This window comes from Homo sapiens, chromosome 3, assembly GCF_000001405.40.
Source record: "Homo sapiens chromosome 3, GRCh38.p14 Primary Assembly".
In the NCBI taxonomy this organism is placed as follows: domain Eukaryota; kingdom Metazoa; phylum Chordata; class Mammalia; order Primates; family Hominidae; genus Homo; species Homo sapiens.
The window spans coordinates 2,889,389-2,909,050 of record NC_000003.12 but is presented as its reverse complement, the minus strand read 5'-3'; the positions used below and the strand labels follow the sequence as shown (position 1 = coordinate 2,909,050).

Here is a 19,662-nt window from a genome sequence, read left to right as displayed (position 1 = left end):
AATGTTTTTCTAATTTGGGAGCCAATCACCTGGGTAGATGCCAAATTAACCAGATAATCGCTCAAGGTTGCACCTCACTTTAATTGGGCCATCAGTTACTTGATGGTATTTGAGTGTCCTGCCAGGGTCAGATGTGTTCCACCACACAGGCCAGGAGAACCCCCGGGATACTGAACCATTAGACATAATTTCCTCAGGATAGAAGCTACTTCTCCTCCATTATACAGTCCTGGAAAAGTCAAGTCATATTCAAAAGACCACTGGGCAGATACCCACTCACCCTTAGGGATGGCTCCTCCCACTGTAAAATCAAAAAACTTTTTTCACAATATTCTCACATATATAAGCAAAATCAAAGATTTTTGACCCCCACCACTTCTGGAACCCCACTTAAGAGGTAGCTTAGGAAGTGATTAACATGGAGATTTTTTAAAAAGCTAGCCTCATTATCTCAAGGTGGAAATGGGTCTGAGGTACAGTTTATGTTCCAGAAATCTCCCTTCTGGATTAGACTTAGGCTAGACTTTACCTAAGACCCCATCCTTGTTTGGTTCCTCCTTCTTCCTTATTCTGCTTTTCCTTACAGGTTTTTCCTGGAGAACACTCTTTCAGTGAATTGCAGATACCTGAATACTTGCCTCAGACTTGCTTTGGAGACCTTAGCTATCCTCTATATTTACCCAATGATTTCAAGTTTGGCAATTTAATCAGCAGTCCCCATCGCCAATATGATCATCTGAGTGGACACAAATACTAAACATGGGTAGAACTATTACTTTAGAAAAGTTATTTTTTCACCAACAAAATACCTAACTTAGTTATCTTTACTTTTTAAGTTACGTATAGAAGATTCAGTTTCCCCATGATTACAAGACTCTATTTACTCTAATTGTAATACACCTTCATGAGTGGGGGAGAGGAGTGGAATGATGGTTATCACCCAGGGAGTTGTACAGCACCTCAGGGATGTCCACAGGGATATATCCCACAAGTGAATCTCATCCATGACTCAGGCTAAGACAGCAGAAAAGATCTAGGAGGAGTTGCCTTGGGAAAAAAATAAACTGCCAATTGTCATAGTTCAGTCACAGACAAGGACACTTCCATTTGATGTACTCATAACCAGGCCTACCAATATACTGACCTCAAGATAAAAGTCTCTCTATGGCGTTTGCCCATCCAGTGAGTAAATCACCCAGCACACAGATTAATTATTTAGCAGTTTAAATCCATTAAATAGACATGTTACATACACATTAAATACCAAGACAGAACACATAAAATAAAACCAAGGGAAAAACCTATTAAATATATGCTTCCTAACCATCTCTTATTCATGACCGTAGGGCTATCACCCAACATTAAAAGGAATCTCCTCTATAGCATTGGAGGTTCCTGATATTTAATCAATAGGTGGAACCAACATATATATTTTTTCTTTCTTATACAGATTATCAAGAGATAATTTTTTTTTTTTTTTGAGACAGTCTCACTCTGTCACCCAGGCTGGAGTGCAGTGGTGCAATCTTAGCTGACTGCAACCTTTGCCTCCCGGGTTCAAGTGATTCTCCTGCCTCAGCCTCCCAGATAGCTGGGACGACAAGCATGCACCACCATGTCCAGCTGATTTTTGTATTTTTAGTAGAGATGGGGTTTTGCCATGGTGGCCAGGCTGTTCTGGAACTCCTGACCTCAGGTGATCCACCCACCTTGACTTCCCAAAGTGCTGGGATTACAGGCGTGAGCCACTACACCCGGCCAAGAGATAATCTTAACAAGAGATTATCTTGTTTCCATTTTGTTTCTTTGTTCAATTCAGCATCCTCATGATTCTAGCATAGGTAATGACAATTTAGTTATTTGATCCAAAAGAGCCAAACTATTCCTGCTATATAAGGAACAAAGTGACTTGTGGAAAACAATCATATTATGTCTTACCCAAGTTAACCAATATTAATTTCTATGTATCTTTAAATAGGCAGATGTCTTCTCCCTTATTCACTTAAGAGAGACTCTACGGGTTTACACACTCAATCTTTAACTGCCCTTCAATTTACCTGAAATATATTACTGGGAATTTTTGGAAGGGAAAATGGGATATTAAATAGGGAACTTGCAAGCTTGTCATTCAAGAATCTCCAAAATTGGTCCTTAATGACTTCTCCATCTTTCTTTTTCTTTTCTCTTTTTCTTTTTTTTTTTTTTTGAGAAGGAGTTTCACTCTTGTTGCCCAGGCCGGAGTGCAATGACACGATCTTGGCTCACTGCAACCTCTGTCTCCCGGGTCTAAGTGATTCTCCTGCCTCAGCCTCCCGAGTAGCTGGGATTACAGGCATGCGCCACCATGCTCGGCTAATTTATATATATATATTTTTAGTAGATATGGGGTTTCACCATTTTGGCTAGGCTGGGCTCGATCTCCCAACCTCAGGTGATCCGCCTGCCTCGGCCTCCCAAAGTGCTGGGATTACAGCTGTGAGCCACCGTGCCCGGCCACCATCTTTCTTTTTCAAGTTTAAATTTTCCGATATATGCTTTATGTATTTGAATCAAAATTTTTATTTTTTTTATTATTTTACTTTTTAGATTGACAGACACAATTGTATCTATTACATACAACATGTTTTGAAGTATTTATATACGTTGTAGAATGATTAAATCCAGCTAGTTAACATAAATTACCTTATATAATTATCATTTTTGTGGTGAAACACTTAACATCCGCTCCCTCAGCATTTTTTGAGAGTACGATATCTTGTTATTAACTATAATCATCGTGTTATACAATAGAGTGCTTGAATGTATTTGTCCCATCTAACTGAAGTGTTGTATTCTTTGAACGACATCTTCCCAACCCTCCCCCGCCGATTCCCCCGACCCTGACAACCAGCATTCTACTCTATTTCTTTGAGATAAACTTTTTCAGATTCTACTTATGAGTGAGATCATGTGATATTTTTCTGTGCCTGACTTATTTCACACAGCACGATGTCCTCCAGGTTCATCCCTTTTGTCACAAATGACAGGATTTTCTCCTTTTCTTTATGGCTACATAGTATTCTACTGTGTTCACATATACCAAATGTTGTTTGCCCATTCATCCACTGAGGAGTCAACAGCTTTAAAAAGCACTGAAGATTCTCTATGTGCAGGAAACTATCCCAGATATTTTATAATTTTGAGCCTTTGTTCCAGCCATTTCATTCTGATCTGGACTATTCTTTGTGTTTGTCAAAATCTAAATTGTTCAGGGCTTAGCTTTCCAGCCCAGCCCCCTAGCCAAATTCCCTTTCCTGAATTCCTGCAAGCCTTACATTTTTACAACTTGTTTGGCCTAAATAATTTGATGACATGCCTTTATTGTTCTTATGTGAAACATGGTTAAATAATTTCTCAGGCATTTTCATTTTATCTTGACTGCTCTACTGCTATAGTCTGAATGTTTGTGTCCCTCCAAAATTCCTATGTTGAAATCCTAACCGCTAAGGTGATGGTACTAAGAGGCAGGACCTTTAAGAGGTGAAGCCCCTATGAGGTGAAGCCCTTCATAAGGGTGAAGCACCTTATGAATGGGATTAGTGCCCTTATAAAAGAGGCCCAAGAGACCCTCACCCCTTCTGCCATGTGCAAACACAGTGAGAGGTTGGCAGTCTGCAACCCAGAAGGGGGACTTCACCGGAACCCGGCCATGCTGGCACCCTGGTCTCAAACTTTCAGCTTCCAGAACTATCAGAAATAAACATTTGTTGTCTATAAGCCACCATGTTTGCAGTATTTTTGTTATAGCAGCTTAAACAGACTAACACTTCTAGTTTGCTGGCGTCGGGAAACTTAAGAGCTCAGATCAAAAATTCATTTGTAATTAGACAGTTCCAATTGGAAATGATTTTTAAATAAACTCCTTAATGTAAAAGTTGGAACAGTGATTCCCAGCTAACAGGCCTTGAATCCTAGTACTAGAGGGAGAGAGGGGAGGGCTGTGCAGAGTGGTTTTAAGCCATTATGCGTACACATACGCATACACATATATTCTGTTATTTTCAGCTATGGGTAGGCACTCTAGATATAAATCATTAAGCAGCTTTTCTCACTTTGTTGGAGTCATTTGTTTCTATCAAATTTTCTTATTTTAATAAAGGGATCTACAAAATCTCTTAAAATTATAAAAGGGTCCCTAGACTGATAAATTGGCTAGCGCTCATATAGAGGGTTTTCAGACACTATGATTCATTTCATTAGGCCACATCTCACTTTTAGCTGTTCTTCCAACTAGCTGATATAGAGTAGAGTAGAGAACACACTTGTTTTGGAATAAACTCCTAAGCAATCCTGCCATGGTGAACTGTACTCCAAAAGACTCAGTTCCAAGTACCAATAGTTAGCAAATCCGGGCAGAAGGGAATCATCATATGTGTCCTGGAAGGGGTTGAAAATTATTGTTCCTAATATTTATAGGGTGAGAAGTATGTGTGTTTAGGATTCCAGTAGGCCTAGCCATGCTGATGCTATCTATGCCAAGAGCATAAAACCATTACTAGGCCTCTTTGAAAAAGGCTCCATCCCCATGAAATCTCACAATCGTTATCTTTGATAGGATTTGAGTCAGTGCTAACGAACTTAGTGAGAAGAGCAGTGTGGAAGTTTTTCTTTCTTTTTATTTTTTTACATTGCACAGAATGGAAGTACATTCTACTTGAGAACATTTACTTCTATATGCAAGATTTACATGCTAGGCACCAATGAATGTTTTTCATAAGGGAAAGTCAGGACTCTGAAACTGGACAATTTATCAGAGCACGTGAATTAGCTCCTTTGTGTGCTGTTTTTCTCTTATTCATAGTCTTCCATTATGCTCTCACCAAGGAGAATGACTACTGAAAGCCTCTAAAATAGGAGGCAGTTCCCAAATCATTTGCATTTGTTTTTGTGTTTTCAGTTGTCATTATCATCTCTTCTTTTATAATAATAGACAAATTCAAAATTTTTCTACAGGATAATGCAAGCTGTTGGTCTTAACTTTTTTTTTTAACGTCCATAGATTTATCTTTTCACTCAACTATGTTTTCGATTCTTTACTGACCTAATCTATTAATCCATTTAATAAAATAATCTCTCAATTTCTTCCTTCATTTAACACACTCATTCATTCTTACATTCATTCAATGTTTATTGAGTGCATACTATGTGCTTCAATACTGTATTAAGTCCTGGGAATAAAATGATGAATTGAACCAATTATGATCCTTGACGTCACGGGGAGGTTAAAATGCAGTGGAAGAAAAAGATAGAAAGATCACAAAAAAAAGTGTAAACTGTAACTGTGGCATCTTTCATAAAGGAGAGGTAAAAGATAGTATAAAAATCTGTAATAGGAATAGTTGACCCAAGCATGACTTTCTGAGGAAGCACCAATGAAGATGGAAGATGCGAACTGAGAAGGAGTTACAGAAATGAAGAGGGGAAGGAAAAGCGTTTCAGGCAGACGATGCACTCAGTATGTACCAGTGGCCTGCAGAGGACGGGAGGATGGTGAGTATGCAGAACAGAAAGGTCAATGCAGCTGAAGAGGAGGGAGGAAGTGGCACACGATCAAACATGTAGTTGGAAGAAAGATCATTAATGCACAGTCTGGAAAAATTCAGATGTGGAAGAGCAGGGTTTATTCTGTCAGCTGTTCAAATAAGCCTTTCCAAACCAAGTCAGCTCTTATTCCCTCCAAGCTCAAGTTTGCACCAAATCAGCAGCAGACTCCAAAAAGCATCTCAAAAACTTTGCTCAATTTAGAAGTGCAGTCAATAGAGGAATAAAAATGAGTGCCAAGGGAAGCATGGTCCCCATTGTAAGCATCAGAAGAGGCGGATTTAGAAAGCGTTCTCTTGTTATTGTTTATAGACTTGCTTATTACTTGTTTCTTGAGTAGCATCTTTGGCCTAAAGATTTCTTTACTCCTTTTCTTGGATTGAACATTTATGCTTGGCAAAGAACAAGTTAGTTTAGTGATCTAAAGAGTTTTAATTTTTTTTTCTTGCCAGTATAAAGACTCACCTATAACACTAAGCTCTGCGTTGGAAAAGATAACTCCATGTTTATTCTCTGCCAAACACTGATACATGCCAGCATCTGAGAGGTTCACTATTGTTATGTTGAGTGTTCCTTGCTCAATTTGAATTCTATCCTGTGAAAGAAAAGAGGAACATAAAAACAATGACCTTCTACAACTGAGACTTTAAGGCAATTTTACCATGTGTAATATCAAGGAAGCTTAATGGGAAGAAAACAGCCATCATATAAGCAATTTACATAACATGATCTATTTATCTGTCAGCTAAATTTGTAGCAGGTCAGATGCTAAATGGAACAACCAGTACATCAGTTGGTAAATGGAATTTAAATTGTAGGATTCTCTTGAGTTCTCATTGATTTAATAGTGGAGCCATTCAGATTAATATCCTCTCTAAATAGAATAACTTGAAACTTAAAATGCTTTTTCACTTTAAGGCTTTGTACTGACCAGAGTTAGGGGGTTTCGGAAATAAAACTAAATTTACTGTTTAGAGTGCTTAAAACACTCACATTTTGAGCAGGTGATACTTTGAAGGTTAATAGGATTACAATCTTGGATGAAACAGAGGCAAATATTTAATATTGGTTGAGGTTTACTAAAAAATGTAGGTATTAATAGTTTAATATTCCCTTAGTTTATTGCTGTCAGTGGTGTGATTTAAGCTGAGGACCATCTGGTGGCGGCCAATCTGAAGGGGGCAAAGTTAGTACGTGGCACAGGAGATCCTCCTTATTTGTCACTCTGAGGATATACAACTTATGTGTCAATTTTCATAAGTATCAAAAAGGATCTCCTCCTCTCCAGGAGACCTGCCATTCTACATATATATAAAGAGGTACTAGTTTTCTGTTTGCCGCAGGGTTGTGAGTTAGCTGAGTGGACACTTTATTAGACTTTGATCAAATCTAGATATTCATGTTCCCTCACATTAAGAAACAAGCCCAAGTGTCCCACAGAAATGATAATTACCTGTTTTTGAATAAACCCAGAAATTGACCTGCCTAGTTTTAAAACTTGAAACTTACATTGGTCTCACTGAGTTCACTCCTCAGGAGGCTGATCCTCAAGCAAGGGACTCAAATTCACTAGATCATGGCATCCAGACAGTGAGACACCAGACCCTTCATCTGTCATAATTGCCTCTGTACCCCCACCTAATTCCTTCCTGCACACAGCTGCATCCCTTCCCCAGCTACATAAACTCCCAATTTTAGTTGGTTGGAGAGATGGATTTGAGACTGATCTCCCATTCTCTTTGACTAAAGCACCTGAACAAAGCCTTATTTCCTGGCAATACTCACTCTCTCAGTGATTGGCTCTCTGCACAGCAAGCAACAGGACCTAGACCAACTCCCTGGCATTTTGGTAACAATTACACAAAAGAAGGAAAATACCAGTACCTAGGTACCTATACCCCTGCAATTTGTCTGAGTTTGGCTTTTATAATTGACAGAATCATGGACAAGCTGGAGCCCTTCCAGCAAATGGAGAAGGTGCATGAGGCAGGGGGTGAGTTAGGCAAAACAGTCCCCTTTCTCTTCCTGTCATGTAAATTCATGTGAGGGCCATTGCTCCGAGCAGGCACTCTTTTCTGGGTGGCCTACTGGAGGAAGAAATCTGAGCATGAAAGACTGCCTCTCAATTTGGAGCCTGAGGAAAATGTCAAATTTCAATTAATATTTGAGGTTCGGCAGGAAAATACATAAGGAAAATTAAATTGGACACAATTGTTCCTCATTCTCAGGGTCTCCGCTCTACCCCTGCTTCATTCAGATTTCTTTGTCAGAGTGTTTCTCTATTTAGATGGATATCCTGTATTGTGTCAATGCCCCTTCTCTTGTAGTGGATGCTGGAATGTATGTTCCTTTGTATCTTAGCACAATTTCATGTTCCAGACCTTTTGCATAACTTTCCCATTATAAAGTCACATATGTTAATCTTTGAAGACCACAGATCTAGTGCAAGAGCTTAATTGAAAGCTGGAGAACTGGATTTAAGTGCACTTTCTATTTATCAATTGCATTCACTCTCACTTTTTCCACCATAATGCTGTTTCATTGCATATTATTTTAGAAACAATTCACCATTCTCCCGTTTCCACGGCAATGAGGCTATATTAAACGTTATAGTCAAGACTAAGGCACAATTACCATTAACTTGCTTACCCGAGTTAGCAGAGGTTCGCCATTTTTTAGCCACTTGTATGTAGGCTTAGGCCTTCCATTTGCTTTACATTCCCAAAAGACATTTTCTTCCATGGCCACGTGAATATCATTTATTTTTTGAATCCAATTAGGTTGAGCTATAGGCATCCAAAAAGCAAAGAAAGGTGTATATTCAGTGTGTACTCAATCTATTTTTATCATATTCAATCAAAGGGCAAAAGTACACTTATAATAAAATTCCTTTTCCAGATGTTATGCAAATAACAAGACTGGGGAGACATTCAGGGAGGTGCCTATACCCTACTCTGAATACCATTTTTGTGGTTCATATTGTAGTCTTTTAATCGCTAAATGCAAAATGGATAAAACTACCAATATCCATATGGCAAAATTAACTGTCCCTCTCCTGTAAGTATCTATTATTCCTTTTTTCCTTTCAGTAGAGAATATCTTCCCATCACCCCCCCTCCCACTTTTAACCAGGCTGGTATATTTCCAGGTAGGCACTACATTTGCCAGATTGCTTTGCAGCTAGAGGTAACTATGTAACCAAGTTCATGCCAACTGTATGTGTGTGAAAGTGGTGAGAGCAACTTCTGGGTTATTCACTTAAAGATATTTTCCGTAACCTCTTCTTTTTCCCTTCACACTGATTGGAAAAGACCAGCAATTGAAATAGCCTTGGGTGCAGACATGGAAGCTACATAGGATGAAAATGCTGACCTGTCAGCCTTGGACCATGAATGACTGTGTGGAGCAAAGCAGCTCCACATCCACCTGCCATTTTTGAGGAAAATAATGTGAGAGAGAAATAAACTTTTCATCTAAGCTACTTTATTTTGGGGCCTCCTTTGTGAGAATAGCTTAGCTTGTCCCTCACTAATATACTTCACTCCCACATGTTGTATAGATCAATTTTATGATTCCTTTCTCCTTTAAGACTATCATCATTGTTTATTATTGATTTCGTATTGATAGAATGTTATCTACAGGAATATGACCCTAGAACCCCAAATCTTTAAATGAGTTCTGATTTTTATCAAACCTCCTCAGGAAATCAAGTCCTGCCCACAGTCTAACACAAGAATTCAAAGTAGCACTTAATTCCCACATTGCCCACTGCTATCCACTACCCCCGCTGCCCAAATGATAATACATTTTCTGTACTTCATTGAAGTCACATTTTCTTTCCTTATTTTCAATAGATATAAAGACAATGTTAATTCCATGTTCCATAAAAAGTCTTCATAAATATCAAATCTTGCCTCAAGCACAATTCATGCCATTAAGAATAATGATAAACATATTCAGGTAGAAGACCTTCAGCCCAAAGTCATGCAGAAGATAACCATAGCTGTCATTCTGGAACTTTATGTGTTCACAGGGCATTTCTACAGGGTAATGCCTACCAAGGTAAACCTAATAATCAAAGTTGATATCAGTATTTAATTAGGAGATGCTACTCATTATTCTTAACATCTCTTCCAGCTGACTTGACCTCAGTATCTTCACTCAACAATGTTTCAAATCATCCATAATTTTAATTCAAAAGGAAATTGCTACTGTTGAGGCCAAACTGTATTTCACCTTTTCAATAATAAACAAAACTAGAAAGACACTCAACAAATCACTTAACCAGCAGAGGTCTCTAGGCCCTTGAATAAATGCTGCTTTTTTCTTTTCTCATCTATAAGCAATTTTATGTTTTTCAACGAGCAAAACACAGTTTTACAAATCCTCTACTGATGGGATGATGCATTGCTGCATATGAGGGGAGGCCAAAAGGGTCAACTTCAAAAAAATTTAGAACATCAACAAACATCAACTTGAATGAAGGGTTATAACCTACACCCTTAAAAGAGCTGCAAGTCTTCCTTGTTCTTTATCTTCCTGCTGCTAATGCAAAGGAAGCTAAAAAGGTTCTCTGCTTGGAGAATTTGATGGCTAATGCAGTTGCATGCCTGATTTCACATTCAACCTGCTGAATATTGACCCCTACAGAGTCCATGAAAACAAAGCAAACAAGAAAAGCCACAGAAGTATGTGAGGAATATTAACAATGAAGCCAAACTTTTGAAAGAGAGTGAGGAAAAAAATGGAAGGGCAAATGTAACTTATGAAGCAATGTCAAGTTGAAGTTCAAAAAGGAAACATCAAAATCACATGCAGAGAGAGAGATTTCAATGTCATAGATTTCCTGTAACACTTGGGCTTTCTTATTGCTTTTTTGCAAAAATGCAGAAAGCTGGAAGCAAAACCTTGCAATCTCAAGAAGCAGGTGAGGCAGAGAAGGGAGGGACTGGAGAGAATTTTGAAAAGGCCTTGCAAAGCTCTAACTAGTTAAGCACTTCTGAGGGCTCATTCTGTCTCTTCCCACAGGGTTATGGAGGTCAAGGAACCAGATGAGAATACTCAGTGGTAGTTATTTGTGCGGGCCAAGGTGAAATCAACAAAAAATTCAGTGTCTGTGGGAGATCACCTGGCACTTTCTTTATTTTTAAAGTAAAATTAATTCATAGAAGACAAATTTGAACTGATATAAACATATTCCTCTCAAAGTGAATATCTGAACGTGGGCCCATGAAGATCAGAAATGAAGTATCATATTATATATGTGACAAAGAGAGACAGTCTATCTTAACACGCCATTTGCAAATCTACAGGGCAAAAGCCCATGTAGTAAACGTTTTCACTCCTGCTCACTTAGATTGGATGAATCATATCTAAACGAGTGAGTTTTTCAAACTAGAATAAATGAAGTCATGTGCTTGATGAAAATGACTCATGTATCTCCATATTTGGGGGGGGTTACCTAGTTCAAAGTCCTTAGATAACAAAAATCCCAGTTAAGCATATTATAAGACACATCATTAGCCCCTCCCCTTTTGTGATAATGCATTGGGTACAGGGTATTTATCGCCTAATATCAAGGTTCAACTATATTTTACAACTCCATGTCTAAACACAGGTTGAACATCCCTAATCTGAAGATCTAAAATCTGAAATGCTCTAAAATTCACAAGTTTTTGAGGGCCACCATGATGCCACAAGTGGAAAATTTCACACTTGATCTCATAAGACTGGTCATAGTCAAATACAGTGAAAACTTTGTTTCATGCATTAAATTATGCAAAATATTAAAATGTTGCATAAATTACCTTCAGGCTGTGTGTATAAGGTATATCTAAAACATAAATAAACTTCATGTTTAGGCTTGGGTCGAAATATTCCAAAATCCTAAAAAACCTAAAATCTGAAACACTTCTGGTCCCAAGCATTTCAGGTAAGAGATACTCAACCTGTATCAACTCAGAGGAAGGCCTGAACAGGTTAGTTCAATACTATTATTTCAGAAGCCATTTCTAAATGTCTTTTTTTTTTTGTAATATATACAGAGCCCACATATTAAGCAGAATTAAACACATTCACATATTAAAAGAGAACCATCTGTTTTGAACTTCCATATTCTTTCAAGATTTGAAACAAAAGAATTCTTCTAGGACTCCTTAAGTATTGTTCTCAAACTACAAATTCAAATATAATGTTAAATGCTTGTGCTGGGATTTGACTCTGTGACACACTTTGTCTCTTGGATAGATAAACAATCTCTTCATTTCAATCTTTTGTTCAATAACTGCCAGAAATGACCTAAATCAGCGTTTGTGTATTCCAGCCACTGGAATTGTACAAGCATCTTATCCAATAATAATTTATATTGCAGGCAGATATAATTTAAACTCAGTGGGTCAAACAATTCTCAGGAGTATTTGGCGCTTCGATTTTCTAAAAACAGAAATTTCTAACTGAAAGAAATGCCAACATATGCCTTAGGCCTTAGAAATTTAAAAATATAAAAGAAAGGATGTGATAGCAAAAAAAAAAAAAAAAAACCCTCTAAATTACTATTACAAAGATGACCTGTAGACATTCACAGTTATTTCTGGTTGCGGACACAATTTTGGAGAAGATGAATCATCTCCAGGGAATGCGGGAGTTTCACTGACATTGCTGAAGAATTTTAATGATAGTAGACTTTATGAGTCTGGAGATAATTACTTGGCTTTAGTTTACCACCTATATACATAGATGCTTCCCAAATCTCTATCTCCTGCCTGGGATTCTTATGCAATTGACAGAATCATCAAGAAATTCTCATATTACCTCAAATTCAGTGTTCCTAGTATTGGCACGAGAAATAGTCATTTTCCAATGCTACTTAAGAGAGTCTTCCAGTTTATTATTACAGTCTTCTCATAAACCCCTGACTTCCAGTTGGCAGAAGTCACTGAAAAGAAGGACCAGCTCTACAAGAAATATGCATGTTGGATTTCAGGGCAAGGTCCATCTTTGGTGTTTGTTCAGCACTGATAATCTGTGCTTCTCTGGCTTCAGACTCTCATCCACTCCCCACACACCAATCAGTCTCCTTACAGGGGTCTTCAAACTCAATTCCATGAAGCTCTGAGGGTTCTTGGAAGGCACTCCCTTCTACATTCATTCAAATTCTCAATATTTAACACAACGCAAGGCTGCTTCCTTGCTGCAGCCTTGCTTTGTATTAAATATTGAGAATTTCTTGTGAAATTTCATGCTAAAAAAAGTACCTTGAGAAACATACACATACTTTGCTGATACTGGCTGATATCTTGTATTATAAGAACGGCTTTGGAAATGCAGTCTGGGGATTGGAAGCCTGTTTTCTCCTTGAATTCAGATTCGTTTGGACCTAATGATGTCTAACACTCCTTTTCATTTGATTTGATTTGATTTTTATTTATTTATTTTTTTTGAGACAGAGTCTGGCTCTGTCGCCCAGACCAGAGTGCGGTGGCGCCATCTTGGCTCGCTGCAAACTCTGCCTTCTGGGTTCACGCCATTCTCCTGCCTCAGCCTCCCGAGTAGCTGGGACCACAGGCGCCCGCCACCACGCTCGGCTAATTTTTGTATTTTTAGTAGAGACGGGGTTTCACCCTGTTAGCCAGGATGGTCTCGATCTCCTGACCTTGTGATCCGCCCGCCTCGGCCTCCCAAAGTGCTGGGATGACAGGCGTGAGCCACTGCGCCCAGCCCCTCCTTTTGATTTTAATAAGTGAAACCTTTAGCCTTTAGATTGTCTCTTAAACCAACAGGATTCATAGTTCTCCTAGTTTTTCTGTTAATTTGTACTTCATTCACACACTCTTATTTATGGCTTCTTCATCTCCACATAAGTTACAACTGACTTGCTTCTGGCAATGGTATGGGAGATGGCATCTCCCATAGGCCAATCCTTTTACAGATAGCACGGATAGCAAGGATAAACTCAAGTTCAGATATAAAAACCAACTATATGAAGATACACTAGAAGGCAACTCAAAGCTGGCATATTTCTATTAATAGGTATTCATGAATACATAAAGCAAATATAACTGTAGGAAGTAATCTGTATGCGAGATAACAAGTAAGATTTCTGAATGTGCTCTGCCTCCTGTAAATGTTATGAAAATTAGGAGAACATTATCATTATTTCATATCTTTAGGTTAATATTGAAAGTCTTCTGCCATCTGACCAGGTGTGGTGGCTCATGCCTGTAATCCCAGCACTTTGGGAGGCCGAGGCAGGTGGATCATCTGAGGTCAGGAGTTTGAAACCAGCCTGGCCAACATGGTGAAACCTCATCTTTCCTAAAAATACAAAAATTAGCCGGGCATGGTGGTGCCTGTCTGTAGTCCCAGCTACTCAGGAGGCTGAGGCGCGAGAATCACGGTGAGCTGAGATCGTACCACTGTACTCCAGCATGGGGGACAGAGCAAGACCCTGTCTCGAAAATAAATTAACAAATACATAAATGAAAATGAAGTCTTCTGCCATCTGATTTTACCTACATCTCTTACTTTCTGTCCAACTATGCCCATTGAATTCACAGCTCTTGGTGAATAAGGGTCTTTGTCCTCCACTCCAATAAGTCAGTTCAGAACTTTATAAATGAGTTATAGAATAAAAACATTGTAAATCAGCAATATGTGGATTTTCAAAAAGGCTGTTGGGCCCGATTTACTCAGTTATACCCAGATCAATCAAGCTATGACTCTAACCTTACACAGATTCATTTCTCTATATTTCTTTCTTTTATTTTTTTAATCTTCAAAGCCTCTACCTAGTGTTTCCCTCAATCTGCTCTTACTCAGCTGAATCCATCCCCTTCTCTTTCCCTTATACACCTTGAGTTCAGTCCCAAATGCAACCAATAATGGAAACTACTAATATATGGAATATCTAATCAGCTTCACTTTATGCACATCATTTCTAAACCTCATAATAATATTCAGGTTAAGTAGACTTGTACTCATTTTATAGGTAAGGCCCAGAGACATTAACATCCAGATTCAGAAAGTAGCTCAGTTAGCAATGGTACACAGGCCTGCTTGGCTCCAACATCCATTCTCTGTCCAGAGCCTCTCAAAAAATGTCCAACCCTAACACAAATGACAATGGTAGCATTCTTTTGAATGTATCCTTCTTAAAGTGCAATCTAAGAACCATTGTAGGTCCCCAGGTTTCCTTAAGAGAGTCCATTATGTCCTCTCTTTCCAATTATATATGTGTCAGACCATATTTTCTTCATATACTTCAATCAAAACAAAATATCATGACAGACTGAATACAGAAGTATATAGGAGAATGCACTTTTATTCTAGTAAGACAGACATTACAGAGATTTGCAAAAATATAAACCAAGCTACTCTTTTCATTAAATATTTTTATTTGGAAAAATATAGTCAGTTTTCTTATGTTAATTATTTCTAACATATACTGGTTGTATTTTTGTTATTTTAAAGTAAATTAAGTTCTAAGTTAAATTCTCCATTTAAATTAATTATATGGCATATATGGGTAGATATAACTCACATAAACAAAGGCTCTTTGAGGTATCCAATAATTTTTCAGGGTAAAAAGGAGTCCTTAAACCAACAGTTTGAGCCCTCCTGCTTAGACAAGCAGAGGAACTTCTAGATAAATGAATCAACTTAAGCAAAACCTCCTATAAGTAAATTTAAACAATATTCATTGGTGAATAAAAAAATGTAACTGTGACATTTTGCCTTCTCTGGGACTATAGAGTGAGATGACTTGAATTGCATTTCAATATATTGTCCTTGATATGACTCTTTTTTTCATGGCTTAACGTTTCTTATTAGGTGAGGACTTTATGCCTCCACTCCTGTATTAATTCTCTCTATTATTCGCAACGTTTGCTTAATGCGTACCCCTTAAAAACTGTAGCAACATACTTTATTGGAACTATCAGATGAAAGAAAGAAACAAAAATTGTTGACTTTATCTTAAGTGACAGGGGAATTGAGGGTATCAATATCAGTTCTGTCTAGGACAATTAAGCAAACTATTGCCCTACTGTGAAATTACCTTATGTACTGTGTTCAGTCTTTGGTTACTCTGTCCTTTAAGCTTCTTTGCAGGGCTGAATATTATCTTGTGATCACATATACATAGCACATCCATGGGGAATTAGTATGCTCTGCTGTAAGATGCTTAAGTATTCATTTATTGATGACCTTAGAGATACTCAAACACCATTTGCAGTGTCATCAAGCCTACAGTTTTGCCTTTAGAGGCAAAGGACTGTAGCACAAAGGCTCTAGACATTTAGTCTTACATGTAATTTGAAGAAGAAAAAAAGGGTTTTTTTGGACTCAATAACCAGGTGACCAACTTAGAAAATAGAAAGTGAAAAAGTCAGTTGTTCATCCAGATGTTTTCATTTGTGACACTGGTAATGGAAAACGCAAGAAAGAGTATCCGGATGATTGATGGATTTTTTTCACCTTACCTATTGTATTAAAATGTTGTATTGGCAGGAAAAGTAACACAGGTAGAATAGCAGAAAAAAGCAGTTCTAGCTGTGATTCCCATTCACTGCATTACCTTGAATAAGTTATTTTGTATCTCTGGATCTTATTTTCCTTAATTATAAAAATCAAAGGGTTGGCCCCAGCAGTTGCTTCCAGCTTAAGTATTACTGGATTCTGTGAAATACAGCCTTGTTTACTGCTCAAATATTAGATTCCCCATTTCCTAATTATGAAGATGGTTTAACTCTCATAACACCTGTTACAAAGAGAAGAAACTGTACAAAGATATTAAATATCAGGCTCTTGTAGTTCACACTTCATTCTACTAAATGATGACTATAATTCTATCAGTCTTTTTGGGCAAAAAGGAAGTGACTACAGAGACAGAATGAAGTGCAAAGATGAATAATTACCAAGTGAATTAAATACATTTTATATTTCCCTTTCCTTTCTTCAAAGATAATTGCCTTAGCGCTCTCATTCTACTTTGTGTAGACTGGCTAAAATGCCTGATGTGACAGTAAGCTGTTAGCTTTCCAGAGTAGCAGGAACACCTTCTCTTGCATGTCATTTAATCTTCAGCTTCACAATACCATGGGTGGACAACCTAAACATAGAGCATTCTCACTATGTGGTTCCCAGACAAGCAGCATCAGCATTACTTGGGAACTTACTAGAAATGCAAATGCTTGGTTCTACCCTGGACTTACCAAATCAAAGCCTCCATCTGGTATGTTCCCACTGGGAACATAGAACGAGACCCAGAATTCTGTGTTGTAATAAGACTTCCAAGTGATTGTGATGCACACTGAAGTTTCAGAACCTCTAGCAAAGCATTCGAAATCTAGCTCTGTTTTTTACTGTATAAACTTAAATCAATTACTTTAATCTCTTTGGGACTCAATTTCCATATCTATAAACTAGACAGATGTAGGAATGAAATGAGCATATCCTATTGGCTCTAACTCCAAAATATATCTCAAGTCTCTCCATTTCTCTTCCTCTCTTACGTCCTAACCAACAATGTCTCTCACCTGGATATTGGCAATGGTCCGGCTTTTGCTCTTGGTTTCCAATCATCCATTCACCACAAAACAACCTGAGCGGTCTTTTCAAAACATTAATCAAATCGAGTCACCCTCCTGCCTTGAAATGCTGTAATGGCTTCCCATTTTACTCAGAGAATAAAACCCAAACTCTGTGCCTGGCTTACAAAGTACTGCAGTCTGTCACCTTCCCAAGTTTCAAACCTTTGCCCCTTGCTCACTATGATTTAGTTAACACTGACTTCCCTGCTGCATATCAAGAAAGTCAAGTAGTTTTCTGCCTCAGAGTCTTTGCACTTCCTCACCTTCTGCCAGCAATGCACTTCCCCTTGAAAGCCTAGCTCATTTTCATCCTTTAGGTTTTGGGTCAGAGGGCAATTCCCAGACAAGTCTTTCCTGACTACTTCATCTTATGAAATCTTTCTCTTGCTCTCAGCTACTTTCTATCATATCAAATTATTTATTTATTTATTTATTTGAGATGGAGTCTTGCTCTGTTGCCCAGGCTGGAGTGCAGTGGCACAACCTCGGCTCACTGGAACCTCCGCCTCCTGGGTTCAAGTGATTCTCCTGCCTCAGCCTCCCGTGTAGTTGGGACTACCGGCATGCACCACCACCACACCCAGCTAATTTTTATATTTTAGTAGAGACGGAGCTGGTTTCGAATTCCTGGCCTCAAGTGACTCACCCACTTCGGCCTCCCAAAGTGCTGGGATTACAGGCATAAGCCACTGCACCTGGCCAATCAACCTCATTATTTTCTTTATCACTCTTACCAAAAAATAAAATTTCCTAGTTAATTTATTTGCTTAATAGTGCATTTTGGTTAACTTCCAGTAAAATATTAGGTCCTTGAGGGCAGGGATTTTGTCTTGCAGCCATAGTGCCTGATAATGTCTCCCACATGGTAGGCAATAAAAAAAAATTTGTTAAACAAGTAAATAATGTATTAAAGTCATTTTGGAAAATGTTTATCTTTAGTAACAGAGATCCATAGCATTTTACCACTGAAAATAAATCTATTTTTAGGAAGTTTTTAATGCCAAAAACAGACTGAGAAAAGTAGATTCAACTAGACCGTACAGGTTATAGCAAAAACAAATTGGGAAGATGGGGTAGGGTAAAAATGTTCTATCTCTGAACTTGCTTCAGTTCTTCATACATACCAAACATGAGTAGCACAGGGTAACTTAAAGACATGGCTACAGTAGGGACAAACCAAAGGGCAATAGGGCTTCCATTATTCAGACACTGGGAACAATCATCATGCCTAGTAGGCTTTTGAAAGAAGGCAAAATGGTTTTAATGCAAAATGGTTTTAATGCAAGAAGGAAAAAAATTGCCATTTTGCCAACCCTGAATAGGAGTTAGCACACTTCTGGTTGCTGAAGTGGAGAGCTGATGAATGCAATAAACAACCTGGAACCCAAAGAAGCAGGTTTCTAAGCTCAAACCCATGGTTTATAATTCCTAGGTTGTAAGAAATTCTTGTCAACAAAGACAGAATGTTCATGGATAAGTGACTGGGGTACTTTCTCACCTTTTATCATCTACATGGTGATTTTAATTATCATAATTCATTTAAATTGGAGACCTATGCAGCTGGATATTAGGAACACAGCACTGGGAAGACCCAGACCAGAAAAAAGTGAGAGGAAAAAAGATGACAGCCAAGTGCTTATGTATAATTAAGCTCTCCTGTGGCTGTGACAATGAAAACAATTAGATAATTTTTGTCACTGATGTGCTAGATGAGGAAAAACAAAAGAATAAACATAAATGCAATAGCCAAGTGCTGTGGAAGTCAACTGATCTGACAAGTTTTTAACACCAAGCGTGGCTGACAAGTGAGCTAAGGCTGAGTTATCTTCAGAAAGCAGGCAAATTTTATTTTATTCTGCTCTTTTTCCCATGCATGGCTGCAGATAACTCCATTTAAAAAGGAAACATTGTTAGAACCTGATTTTCATCTCCAGGGCAGGATCCCTGAAAAAAACATTTCCCTGCACAGGGCTGGGAGCCAGTGACAAAGTTGATTTTCCATAACAGTAATCCTGGAGTACTGTATTTCCAGTGCAGGAAACCTCTAACCCACAGGAAAGCAGTATGCCGACCCCTGGTTGCAGAAAATTTCATACCAGTTTAACATACTGAGAGCAGGAATTTCAGTTAACAGAAAATCATGAAAGTTAAAATGACTTTATTCAATTAGTTAAGCTACTCAAATAACATTTAGGAACAGCCACCACTGAACTGAAGAGACTATTCAACCAAGAAAAAAGAGAAAATGTTGGCCAATTATCTGAATATTTACAGATTGTTCCTATCTGATATAGAAAAAATAATTATTACATTGGTGAGAAAAACGAGCCCTACACAGTTAAAAATACACAGCCATAGCATCTCACTGAATAAATCTGTAATTTACAGTCTCATGATTTTGCAGTCAGTTAACTGTGGTGTCTTTTGCTTTACAACCCATCAACTAAGATACCAACTATGACAGTTTAAGAGGAAAGCAAAGATTAAATATCAA

General features: G+C 38.1%; 1 protein-coding gene across 40 annotated transcripts in view; it reads right to left on the bottom strand.

Annotated features, from left to right (window-relative positions):
* CNTN4 (contactin 4) overlaps nucleotides 1–19,662 on the bottom strand; it is a 959,094-nt gene that overhangs the window by 148,909 nt on the left and 790,523 nt on the right. For 38 of the 40 annotated variants that reach the window (XM_017005783.2, NM_001350095.2, XM_047447536.1 and 35 more), the window contains 2 exons: nucleotides 8,230–8,366; nucleotides 6,046–6,175 (listed from right to left, as the gene is read on the bottom strand). In XM_017005783.2, coding sequence (XP_016861272.1) covers nucleotides 6,046–6,175; nucleotides 8,230–8,366 — 267 coding nt within the window. Of the gene's footprint in view, nucleotides 1–6,045; nucleotides 6,176–8,229; nucleotides 8,367–16,790; nucleotides 16,832–19,662 lie in introns of those variants that run through there. The other 2 variants (NM_175613.3, NM_001206956.2) reach the window with 1 other exon arrangement.